The sequence below is a fragment of the Homo sapiens genome, chromosome 13, assembly GCF_000001405.40.
Source record: "Homo sapiens chromosome 13, GRCh38.p14 Primary Assembly".
In the NCBI taxonomy this organism is placed as follows: Eukaryota; Metazoa; Chordata; class Mammalia; order Primates; family Hominidae; genus Homo; species Homo sapiens.
In genome coordinates, this window is record NC_000013.11 from 22,702,239 (window position 1) to 22,715,275 (window position 13,037).

Sequence of the window (13,037 nt, forward strand, 5' to 3'; positions counted from 1 at the left end):
ACTATTCAATCTAGCAATCTTACTAGTGAGTATCTACCCAAAGAAGAAGAAATCATTATATCAAAAGAACACCTGCATGCGTATGTTCATTACAGCACAGTACACAATTGCAAAGCCATGGAACCAACATAAGTGTACATCAATTGATTTTTGAATAAAGAAAATATAATATATATACACTATGGAATACTACACAGCCATAAAAAAGAATAAAATAATGTCTTTTGCAGCAACTTAGATGGAGCTGTAGGCCATTATTCTAAGTGAAGTAACTGAGTAAGAGAAAAACCAAATATGTTCTCATAAGTGAGAGCTAAGCTATGGGTAGGCAAAGGCAAACAGAGTGGTATAATACATACAGAGTGGTATAATACCTACAGAGTGGTATAATACATACAGAGTGGTATAATGGACATTGCAGACTGCAGACTCAGAAGGGAGGCAGTGGAGGGGCATGAGGGAACATTTACACTGGCATCCTTCTCCTTCAGTGCTAACTTTTCAGTCACAATAGAACACCTTGAGCTCAGGGAAACTGAGGGCACTCTTCCTCAAAGCAGCCAGAGTTGCAAGGTCTGAATGGTCATCAGATTCATCTTTCTGGGTAAATAGATGGCACCTCGTAACTATGAAATGATGATGTTTATTAAGAAGAGGTGGAGGTGCAGTGTGAAGCTCTCCTGAGTGCACCATGGTTTTTGGCAGCACTTCAGAGGTGAGGATGGCTGCCCTAGGTCAACCTGTCTGGTGTCAGAATAGGTTTTGCCTTTAGGGCAGACTAGGATACCTTCAAGGCAACCAGGAGTGAAGTTGTCTCCCTCTTGCTGTCAAGTGACTGACAGGAATGATTTGGGGCCCTATACTGAACTCCCAGACAGCCATCCCCCCACACCAAGCCCTGGTGCTGGGAATAGCATCTCCTGGCCTCCTGGAGCTAACTCATCCAGAGAAAATAAGGGCTAGGGCTCCCGGGATACCAACAAAATCCCAAAGATAAAATATTCAGGCAGTTAATTCTGGTATATAGTATGTATAAATAATCATACTTCTTAGAGATGCTGATCTACAATAAGGAAAAAAACTTACTTTTGTACAAAACCATTTTACCTACCACTATGATGTTTCTCACAATGTACTGGTAGATGTCAAACAATAAAGAAGCAAGATTAGAAAAAGTTTTATCATCTTTGCTGCCCCACCAGTGCATTAAACAAACAAGAACATTTAGCATATTTATTTAAGAAGTGTATTAGCAATTAGCTATTGTGTGTGCTTTGATCCATTTCCTAAAATCAAACAAAAAATAAGATAGGCAGTTGAGCAAGCAAGAAATCAATTTGTGCTGCTTCAAATTTCATGGAGATGGTCATCAAATTTGTGCCCTTGATCAAACACTGCAAAATAAGTACTTTTTCTTTTTTCTTTTACAAATCTGTATACCACTCAGGTCAAATGCCTGTTTAATTTATAGAAACATAAATAAATAACCATACAATAAAATTTTATGATCTAATCACACCATGATCTGGATGTTAGTCATAGGCCACTGTGCTTTCTGCCCACTGTAAATCACTCAGCACAACGGCTGACTTATTTACCACAAACCGTTTTAACAAATGTAGTCCTGCCTTTCCCTCCATATTAATTAATACACATAACAAAGGATAACGCTATCCCTACGACAACAAAACCCTTTTGTTCCCTGAAGCCTCCAGGCGTCCACTGAGGCCCCTTTGTAGGTGATTTCTCCTCGCGATTAAAGGAGATATTTTGTGTGTTCCAGTGAGAACTGGGAGAGTAATCCTGCACCTGTTGGAGGCTTAGGAAACTGGTGAGTAAACCTCTCAAACCTCCATGGCTGACTCAGTTTTCTCAGCCTGGAGGACTGGCAGAGAGCTTCCCAAAACTGGAAAGATGTTTCTTGAAGCTTTCCTCGTGTCACCTAGAGCCATTCCCGTTGCATTTCTGAGAGCTTCGTCTTAATTTTCGGTTACTCATTTTTTTAAAAAGGCTTTGACAGTCAGATCCAACAAGTAAGTAGAAAGCATCCAATTTCAGTGTGAAAAATACAGCAAAAAAATGAGGCTATTTGATTTATTTTAGATCAAACATCCAGTTATTTGGAAATATCTATTTTTGACTAAATTTTTGTTCTCATCCAGATGTTTGACATTTTTGTAGACATGGATTAAGTGCCTGCATTGTATTAAAAAGACCCATTTCAAAAGGAAAAATGATATAATATTCTTGTAAATTCGAGTAAACCAAAAGATTGGCTTCTTTCTTAGCACAATCAAAACAAACTTTCCTCACCTCCCTTATAACCTCACATCCTAAAGGGAAGGGGGCGATATCTATAAACTATCTGGGGTTTTTTTTCCATAATAATATTCTTACACAAATCTGCAGCTTTTGGACAGTCAAAAGAGAGACCCACCTGGCACACAGGAAGCCACACACGGGCAGCAGGACCACTCCAGGCCGTCGAGGCCCATGGTCGGGACGCTGCTCACCATATGTGGAGATGTTGCTTTCCTCCAGAAGCTCTGTCACATTAACGTCAAACTGGTCTTAGATGTCATTGAGGGCTTTGGCATCATTCTCCTCAGACACAAAAGTGATGGCCAGGTCTTTAGTGCCAAAGCAACCTGCACAGGCCACTGGGTGGAGGTAGGTGTCCGAGTCTTCAGGCATGCCATAGTTAAGACGATGTTGAATCACTCAATTCCTACAATGGTTAGGAAATGACTGAAAGTGAACACGGGGACTCTGAGCAAACCTGCTGAGATACAGGCTTGGGGCTGCCTCAGTAAATTCCTCCAGTGAAGTGGATGGGATTATGGTGTGGATGATGACAAAAGAGTAGAAGAGAAGTTGTCGACAGATTTGCACAGAGGCCATTGAAGATTTTATAAATAAAGAAAAATGTCTGCAGCCAGTGGTTTATGCCAAATATCTTCCCAAGCCTCCATATCCCTGTGGATGTTGCAACTGACTGCAAACAGATTGATGTCCACCAGGATCCACTGCTGGAAATCCTTGGACTGCTAATAGCGTGACAGGCATTCTTCCTGGGCCATGGCCAGGAAGTTCTGCTCCATGAGGAGCTGGGCCGGGGACATGCAGGGCTGTACCGGCTTGATGAAGATTGCCACCTGTTTAAATTCCAGCATGTCCAGGAGATCGAAAAGCTTGCAGTTCTTCTCAGTGTCCTTGAGCTTGAGGTAGTCCTGCTGCGGTGTGTGCAGCGTGCGCTTGGTCTCGTCATCCACAAACACATCCATGGGACCCTGCATGGACTCCCTGCACACAGGCCAGATCTCCTTGCTCAGGGTGGCACTGAACATGATTCACTGCTTCTGCTGGAATATCAGGTGGGAGGCCTCCCACATGTCCCGCCACATGTCCAGCCACTGCAGCATCTCATCCAGCACAAAGTGCTTCACATTCTTCAGGTTGAGGCTCCTGTTCTGCACAAGTGCCACGATCCAACCCGGGGTCCCCACCATGACACAAGGACAGTTCATCAACAATTCTTCATTCTTTTTGATAAAGAGGCCTCCGAAAAACACGGACACCTTGACACTGGGCATCTACTTGGAGAAGTGCTCATTCTCACTCCTTGCTGATCTGGAAGGCCAGCTCCCCTGTGTGGCACAGATCAGGACCGTCACCTGTCAGTTGACAGGCCGGATCTGCTGCACAGTGGCCGGCACAAAGACCGCTGTCTTGCCCTTCCCAGATTTGGCTTGGCACTGGATGTCCATACCCAGGGTGGCCTGAAGAATGCACTCATGCTGGACCTCAGGAGCTCCAGTTGCAGCAGAAAGTCCCAGAAACCAGAGCTGTGGACGGAAACGTAGGATCCCTTGACATCTTTCTTACGGGGAACCAGAGTGCTCCCTGGAGACGCCTAGGGCTCTTCTTCATAATCCAAAAGCTTATTTTCCACATCCTGTTCTGCCATGTTGCTGAGAGCAGAGAGAGGCAGGGCCCTGGTTCCTCATTCTCCTCCACATGCCACGAGGGCATGCAGTTGCTAATTGTTTATATCTATTATAAGAATTAGCAGCTAATGGCCAGGCACTGTGACTCACGCCTGTAATCCCAGCACTTTGGGAGGCTGAGGCGGGTGGATCACGAGGTCAGGAGATGGAGACCATCCTGGCTAACGTGGTGAAACCCCGTCTCTACTAAAAATACAAAAAATTAGCCAGGCCTGGTGGCAGGTGCCCGTAGTCCCAGCTACTCAGGAGGCTGAGGCAGGAGAATGGCGTGAACCCAGGAGGCGGAGCTTGCAGTGAGCCGACATCGCACCACTGCACTCCAGCCTGGGCTACAGAGCAAGACTCTGCCTCAAAAAAAAAAAGAAAGAAAGAAAGAAAAAAAAAAGAATTACCAGCTCATTAAAAAAAAAAAAAACAGACTGAGAAGTTAGGCAGGGATGGAGCTGGCGAGACTTCTCATAAAGCAGCCCCTGTCAACAGGAACCATCCTGCAAGCCCTCCTACTTTGGCTGTGAATTGAGGGGATGCAATTCCCAAGGTCATTGCCATACCAATGAGTAGAGGGTGCAGATGGAATCTGGCTACTAGCTCTGCAGGGTTTAGAGGACAAAGATAGAACCCTGTGGCAACAACATCACACAGGCAGACCTTTAAAAGACTATTAAGGTACTTCACTCTGGGGACTGGGTGTCTGAATTGGGGTGGTGCTGACGGACACAGTGAGAAGTAATCTGTTTAAAACATAAGCAGGGCAAAGAGTTAGGAGTGTTTTCTAGGCATTTTGGCCTGAGCAGCATTGTAAATGGTGTGAACTTGGGAATACAAGAAGAGGAAAAAGAATGTGAGTAAAAAACAAACAAAACCAAAGGTCAGCTTGGCACAGGCTTAATTTGGGTTACCTGCAGACACCTACAGAGGACGTGGGCAGGTGAAACTCTGAGGCTCCACACCAAGGGCGATGGCAGAGCTGAGATGTGAGTGTGGTGCATGAATGCAATTTAAAATGATAGGTCTTCATTCAGCCTTAGGTTATAAGGATAGAAAAGGGAAGAGAACCAAAGATTGGGTGCCACAGTGCTCTGACATTTCAAAGTCAGGAAGAAGAGTAGGAATCCCACATGGGGATTGAGTCAGACATGATCTTCTCTGAGTGGTTTTCCTTACCTCATCATTTCCCAAATTCTGAGTTAGATTGTGATTCTACAGAAGTCTGTGCTTGTCCACCATAGCATTTATCAAGTTACATCACCAATATTTTACACTGGATAGTACATTCATTCTGTAAAGGAAGGGACTGTGTCTTGCTACATCTTGAAATTGACTCAGGCAAATGGTAGACTGTAAAACCACCAAGTATGGAATAAAGGAAGAAAATTTAGACCCCAAAGCCTACACAGATAGCCTAAAATATTATCCCATTTCACAAGTAACTTGCGTTACTAGCAGCTTCAATCCTACAATCGATGGGCTTTGAGTAGATGCTATTCTATCAACACAGGTGGCCCTTGGTGTATCTGGAATGTGTCATTTTACCCAAGTATGCCAAGGGAAGAAGAAATCTTAGTATCTCTCTCTCTTCCCTCCTTCCAGTTTTGGAGAGCTGTAGCTAGAAGTAAATCCTCTAAAGATGAAGACTACTAATTACAACATTTCACATTTTGCGTCATTCTTTATTCACAAAACATCACTGTAGCCACCACCTTAGCCTCTCCACTTCCAGCAAAGAGATCTGGCCTGTATGCAGGAAGTCTATGCAGGATCCCATGGAGGTGTTTGTGGATGCCGAGACCAAGCGCACGCTGCACGCACCTGCAGCAGTACTACCTCAAGCTCAAGGACACTGAGAAGAACTGCAAGCTTATTTCCTGGCCCACTGCACCCCAGCCCTGCCTTATGCTAAGTCTCCATGTCAGAGGATGACATATACACCTGCACGTGCACATGCATATTCACCATCTGGCCCTTGTTCCATTCAGGTGATTTATTTCTTGCATCTTGCATCTCCTTATTGAATTCATAAGAAGATGCATGATAATTCATTTTCTTTGTCAATTCCCTGCTTCTCATTTTGCTAATTCAATGCCACACTAACACTTCTATTAATTTGGCACTTGGAACCGATAGATTTACTGTGTGGCATTCCATCTCTAACTAAACAAAAATAAAACCGCAGACTTGGAGCTTTTTCCAGTGTCAAAGTTTTGCTGCTGCTGCTGCTGCTGCTGTTTTGGCCACTGCTGCATTGTATGAAGCTTATCCACATCCTTTAATCATATACTCATATTCTCTCGAACTGAGGTATATGGGGATAATACCTGAAGTTTTTCCACTTCATGGAGGCATTGTAAATATTCCTGAAGTGAAGAATTCTGTGGTTAAAGAAGTCATCTTCCTTATAAATCACAGGGTTCACTTGAGTCATAAGGCGACCTGTTCTTCTATAGCAAATGCTTGCTTGCTGCAAAGGCCTGGACTAGGAGTCTCAATAGTGATCACCCGCACCTTGTTCATGATATCCACATATGTAGATGACATCTCTGGAGACAATTAACTCTGTAAAATTTTAGGACAATCAGTTGCCTATGAATCTGAATAACATCTGCAGTTATAGCAGGGAGGATAAAATTAGCAGAGTGATCAATTCTTATCCTTCAGGATGTAAACTAACAGCTGGATTGAAAAAGAAAGTTCCACAATCAAATTTCATCAGTGATCTGTTGCAAAATGAGTGGTTGGCCACACTAAAACTCCTAGCCCAGGCCTTTGTTGTAAACAAACATTGGCTACACATGAGCAGATCCTCCTTTTCACCCAGGCACACTCTGTGATTTCTAAGGACATTTGCAAGGTTTGCAGTCCAGAAGCCCATTTAAACATCAGGTATCTATCAGGGTTCGGAGAGAAGTGCATCACCAATTCAAATGCCAACCAGCCTAAAGGATGCTGGGAACATGCCCCAGGGTAACCACTGCTAGGGTGACTGATCTATCTGAAGTTCAATTAAGGAAAAATGCTCGTCCTCACTTCCAAGTTTTGAAAACAGTTGGGCATTTTTGAACATTTTGAACTGTCTTTCTCCCCTGTAACCACTTCTTTTCTGCCCTGAAATCTGTAGTGGGAAAGAAACGTATTTAGTAATTTAAGCTCTCATCTTAAGAAAAGTTCAAAGTAGGTGTGGAGTAAATGTTGTGAGAGGGAAACCTGAACCTAGAGTTAGTGTAATAAGCCCAAGTCCCAGACATATCAAGAAAGTTAGCAATGCCAGAAATAAACACAGCCGAGCATAAATCAACAGAGACTGTGGATGGAAATTTCACTGCGGGTATCACTGGGAACAGGAATAAAACAAGCAGATGGTAATATTGGAGAGAAAAGGGGAAACATAAGAAGAAAACATAAAAAGTGGAAATATTTGACTTTTTCATAAAGTAAAAGAAATTTTAATTTTTTTTTCTACTTAGCAAGTTCTGAGTAAGAATTAAGCATCATGATGAAAATAAATAACATTCAAGAAAAGGATTATTAAAAGGCATAGAAGAACTTTCAGATTTAAAATGGAGTCCCCAGGCAATTCTGGAAACGAGGTCCGTTTGTATTTGCCTAGATTAAGCCAGTATTACCCAATATTAGTAGCAAAACTGCTTACCTCAAAATCCAACTTAGCTTTGAGGAAATACAAATCAGTCTACAGACATGTTAAGTTTCAACAAATCCAGTAAATCAGAAATATAGTGTGAAACAAAATTGAAAATTAAGATTTTTCAAAAATCATGCTCTTAGGCCGGCGCAGTGGCTCACGCCTGTAATCCTAGCACTTTGGCAGGCCGAGGCGGGTGGATCACGAGGTCAGGAGACCGAGACCATCCTGGCTAACACGGTGAAACCTCGTCTCCACTACAAAAAAAAAATTAGCGGGCGTGGAGGCGGGCGCCTGTAGTCCCAGCTACTCGGGAGGCCGAGGCAGGAGAACGGCGTGAACCCAGAAGGCGAGGCTTGCAGTGAGCCGAGATCACGCCACTGCACTCCAGCCTGGGCGACAGAGCGAGACTCCGTCTCAAAAAAAAAAAAAAATTTATTGATAATTGAAAATACGTGTTACCTAATTGGCATGTTTTGCAAAAGCAACAAACTGGGCATTGCTTTTGTTTATTTATGAATTATTTCAATAGCATGTATTGTGTGTGCACCACACTCTTGGCAGACTGCTGGGTGCCAAAAACACAAAGACGCACAGCACATGGTCCCGCCCTCAAGGGATCTGGACTAGTGGGTTGTTAACTTACTCTGGTCACATAAATATCTTCAGATTTACACCAAGATATTTCACATGGAAATCCACAAGTGATTCCATTTCAAATGCGAAACAATCTCATCCATTTATACTTAAACATGTTTTCCTCGGAGACCTCCCTCCCTGACCTTCTGAATCGGCTTAATTCCATTCATGAGTTCCCGTGGAAGTGCACAAGGCACTTCCTTGTGCTTCCTCTACCAAAATACTCAAGGTAGTCTATGGCAGTTTTGCCTACTCTTTACTCGCCACTGTCCTCATTACTGTGACCCAAGGAATTAGTAAGTAACTTATGAATGAATGATTACATGATAGAAGAGCTGAATAAATAAATGAACTGATCATTAAACTGAACTGTCCCTGAACAACTGGACAAAATAAGTGAGTCTATTTGCCTGGCCCTAGTTTTTTATATTTTCTCTGAAATTATGAATGTTAGTTTGGACTATAAATTCCTTTTTAATTGGAATGGCAGGTCCAAATTTCTCTGCTTCTCTCTTGCACTTTACCGGATAATCCACGGGTCATAGGTTTTTAAGCTGATTTAATTCCTACAGCCTCTTAGAAAATGAAGTGCACAGCTTTTACAATGACAATTACTGTTTTAAAAATTGCTTACAACACACAATTAGACAGGAGAATATGGTATAAGCGTGATGCAGATATTTTAAATGTGTAATAGTGCCATCAGAAGTACTGATAAAAGATAACTTTGTTCTGGTATATGTGAACAAGTTTATACATCTTGAATACTTCTTGCAGGTTTATTATGAAAATATTTTCTATCTTGAACAATGGATTCATTGTCAGAAATCTGATATGTTCAGCAACAGAAAGAACCTTGCTTTTCTGATGGAGGTGGATTTTCTGTACAGGATTAGTTCAAACTAGTTCCTATAAAAACACACAAGAAAGGATACGACACATTCTTCCATAATATTGCAGGAAAGTGAGTTCAGAATTTAAAGATTACCTCATAGTTTTATTAATATACTGTAATTAACTGAGCTTCTCCGTTTAAATTACTAATTGGGGGATTCCTATCACAAACTTGAGCTGCTTTTCCTCTCAAGAATATTCACTTCTAAACTTGTTGTAACATTCTGGTCTCATTAAGTTACCAATTCATCTGCTATATACAGCTGTCTTCACACTCTCTTCCTTCATAAGAATCGCAGCCAACAGAAGCATTTTCTATGTTTCACAATTACTGACTACTACAAGGGAGACCAAGGAAGCTGACAATAGCTCAACTCCATGACTGCCTGGACTTACTAACTGTAAGGTGTGTTTGACAAAATGTAGACATATATAGGATTAATGGAATGAGTTGTATTTCAGAAGTAGGAAACCTTGTCAATACCAGTTATAGTTTCTCTTTTAAAGCTATGTAAAAGAATATTTTTTATTCCTTTTAAAGTTACTTTTAATGCATCCAATCTTCTGGTTTTTCACCTTAGTTAAACTCTCATTAAATTGAGTGGTTTTATCTTTAATTTAGGGGTTTATTTCTATTTTTCAAATACTCATTCTGCTTTCAAACAAGAGAAACATAAGCACAGGTATTTTAAATATCTAATAGTGCTATCACAACTACCGATGAAAGAGCTGTGTTGAAAAATAAAAACAAAACACAAAATCTTGTTTTTACTCAAGAGTTTCACAATAAATTCATTGGTCTGTGACAATAAAATGTATTTATCTGTTAGCAATTGACTCAAGAATTGAAGCAGAATATTAAGCTGAGTAGCAAGGTCAATGTTAGTTCATTTATGAAGGTGTCACACTGGTAAATAAGGAAAGATAAAGGGTACTCTCATACTCGAGAAATGTATAGCTATATTCTCCCTCAAGAGATTTTGAAATAATGTTAAATTTGGGGAAGTCTTGGTTTTAGACAGCCACGATTTTATTCCGTAAAGTTTCTAAACACTCTTTACCTCTATAGAATCATCAACATAAGAGAAATAACAGAAAGTGGACCAAGGACAATATTGTTCTTAACTGCATGTTTATGAAAGCCCAAGCCTCAAGTGACATACTCCTGCATTTGCTTTATAATACAATAATAATCAAGCTCAATTTGGATGCGCAAGTTACAATGTGTAGTTCACCATTGGACACCAGGCACCTGGGAAATGGGGTTCAAAAGAGGCACATCTTAGTGGCCCCTTGGTGCACAAATAGTGGCCCCTTAGTGGTCTACTAGCTTCTCATTGGCACCTTTAGCTTCTGCACTATCTAGAAATGCTTGAGGATCCTAAATACAAAATTAAAAGATTATGGTGTTTCCTCAACTCTTAATTCTAATTTAGAATTAGATTCTAAGTTCTAATTAGTTTAGCAGTTGTGTTCCCTCACACTGGAGTTCTATCTATCCTTCCAGACCTTTTCTCCAAAGCAGTGTCTCTGTAGGTGTTCTAGATTACAAAGTTTGTGATAAATCAGTGGATGGGTAAAAGCAATCCCTTTGTCCTGTGTACTAAGCTAAGCTGGATAGCACCACACTTCTGACTACGGGGAGACATCTGAATATCTCTGGGAAACTCAGAATCCAAAACAAGGGGCTTAAAACAGCAGCAACAAGAAGAACAAAATAAACGTTCTTGCTTTGACCAGGAAAGGGAGAGCATTCCACACGCCATCAAATTCAGCCCCATTCAGATTTAATCTCAGGAGAGAGTCTACTCCTCTCTTTACACCAACTCTCTCACCAAGTCCTGGCCAGAGCTCCAGAATTCCTGTCTCCAGTTTTTTGTTTTTTGTTTTTTTTTTTTTGTTTTTTTTTTTAGCCGGAGTCTCGCTCTGTCGCCTGGGCTGGAGTGCAGTGGCGCGATCTCGGCTCACTGCAAGCTCCGCCTCCCGGGTTCACGCCATTCTCCTGCCTCGGCCTCCCGAGTAGCTGGGACTACAGGCGCCCACCACCACGCCCGGCTAATTTTTTTATATTTTTAGTAGAGACGAGGTTTCACTGTGTTAGCCAGGATGGTCTCGATCTTCTGACCTCGTGATCTGCCCGCCTTGGCCTCCCCAAGTGCTGGGATTACAGGCGTGAGCCACTGCGCCCGGCCTCCTGTCTCCAGTTTTTACATGAGTTCATGGTGCAGATTTTTGTTGTTGTCGTCGTTGTTCTGTAGAAGTCCCCATATATAATACGTACAAGGTCTGGGGCATAAACATCTGTTTGGAAGAAATAAAAAAATTTTTTTTGAAATAACGTAACTTGATTTTTATCTCCTGGCATGCCCCAATTTCAGTAAATGGCAGGAAGTTCATGTTAATCACATCCCTGTGACCCCCGTCTTCCGAGGGCATCCTTAACACCAGGGCATCTTCAACACCAGGGCATCTTCAACACCAGGGCTTTGGTGGGCACAGGTGGCTGGCCCTATTCCTGGAGATCCTGCTACCTTATCCTCAGCAGGGCTGGCTGGGTCCCCTCAGCAAGGCCACCTCCCAGCAAGCTCCCTTCAGGTCTGTTGCTTCTTTCCTCAGGCACTTCTGACTCCATTCTGGGGTGAAGTGACACGGAAGCATCGAGTGGTTTTTGCACAGCCTCTGCGGTTTCCAGGAACACTCCAGGGCAGCTTCAGGGCCTCACTGTCTCCGGCATCGCAGCAGCAATTAACTGGGTTCTCCAGTGCTGGGTGCTGGGATGCTGGCTGCTTTCACAGGCTTCACCCAGTAAATAAAACCCTCACCTGCTGAATTTTCGGATATTGTGGAAACTGAGAGTTTTTGTCTATCCCCACACACTAGTTAGCAATAAAACAGAGTCTACCCTATGCCTTTTGAGAAATGCATTAACATGTAATGGATATTAGATATGGGATGTTCTAAAAATCCCAAAGAAAAAGTTTAACCCCTCTGGGGCAGACAAAACCGACTTATAATTGAATTGTTCCAATCTTTGATAATTCCATAAGCCTCATGCACCAAGTTCTTTAAAACCTAACAGGCCAGGCACAGTGGCTCACACCTGTAATCCCAACATATTTGGAGTCCAAGACAGGTGGATTGCTTAAGCCCAGGAGTTCGAGACCAGAATGGGCAATACAACAAGACCTCTGTCTCTACAAAAATACAAAAATTAGCCAGAAGTTGTGGCGTGTACTTGTAGTCCCAACCACTTGGGAGGCTGAAGTGGGAAGATGGCTTGAGCCTAAGAGGTTGAGGCTGAAGTGAGCTACGAAGGCTCCACTGCAGTGGAGCCTGGGCAACAGAGCAAGACACTTCCTCTAAGAAAAAAAAAAAACAAGAGAATTAATAGAGAGAGATCCCAGATACCCTTTACCCAGTTTCCTTCAACAGTAACATCTGGCAAAATTATAGTAGAATAACACAACTAGGAAATTGGTGTTGATACAGTCCAGATATAGGACATGTCCAGGACCACTATCCTTCCCTTTTTAATGCCTGGGGATCACTAATATATTACAGTTTTGTGATTTCAAGAATTTTATATAAATGGAATCTCAGATATATATTTATATATTTATATTTTACAGATGTTAATATATATTTTTATTTAATATATATTTGTATTTTATATATAAATATAAATATATATATAAAATACATAACCTTTTTTGATTGTCCTTTTTCACCGAGCATAATTCTCTGCCAGTTCATCCAGATAAATGGATGAATCCTTTTTACCACTGGGTAGTCTTCCGTGATATGGATGCACCAGTGGGTTTAGCCATTCACCCATTGAAGGACATCTGGTTTTTTTCCAG

At 41.9% G+C, this 13,037-nt stretch overlaps 1 pseudogene; it reads right to left on the reverse strand.

The window, feature by feature from the left end:
• Nucleotides 2,999–3,974, reverse strand: DDX39AP1 (DEAD-box helicase 39A pseudogene 1; annotated as a pseudogene).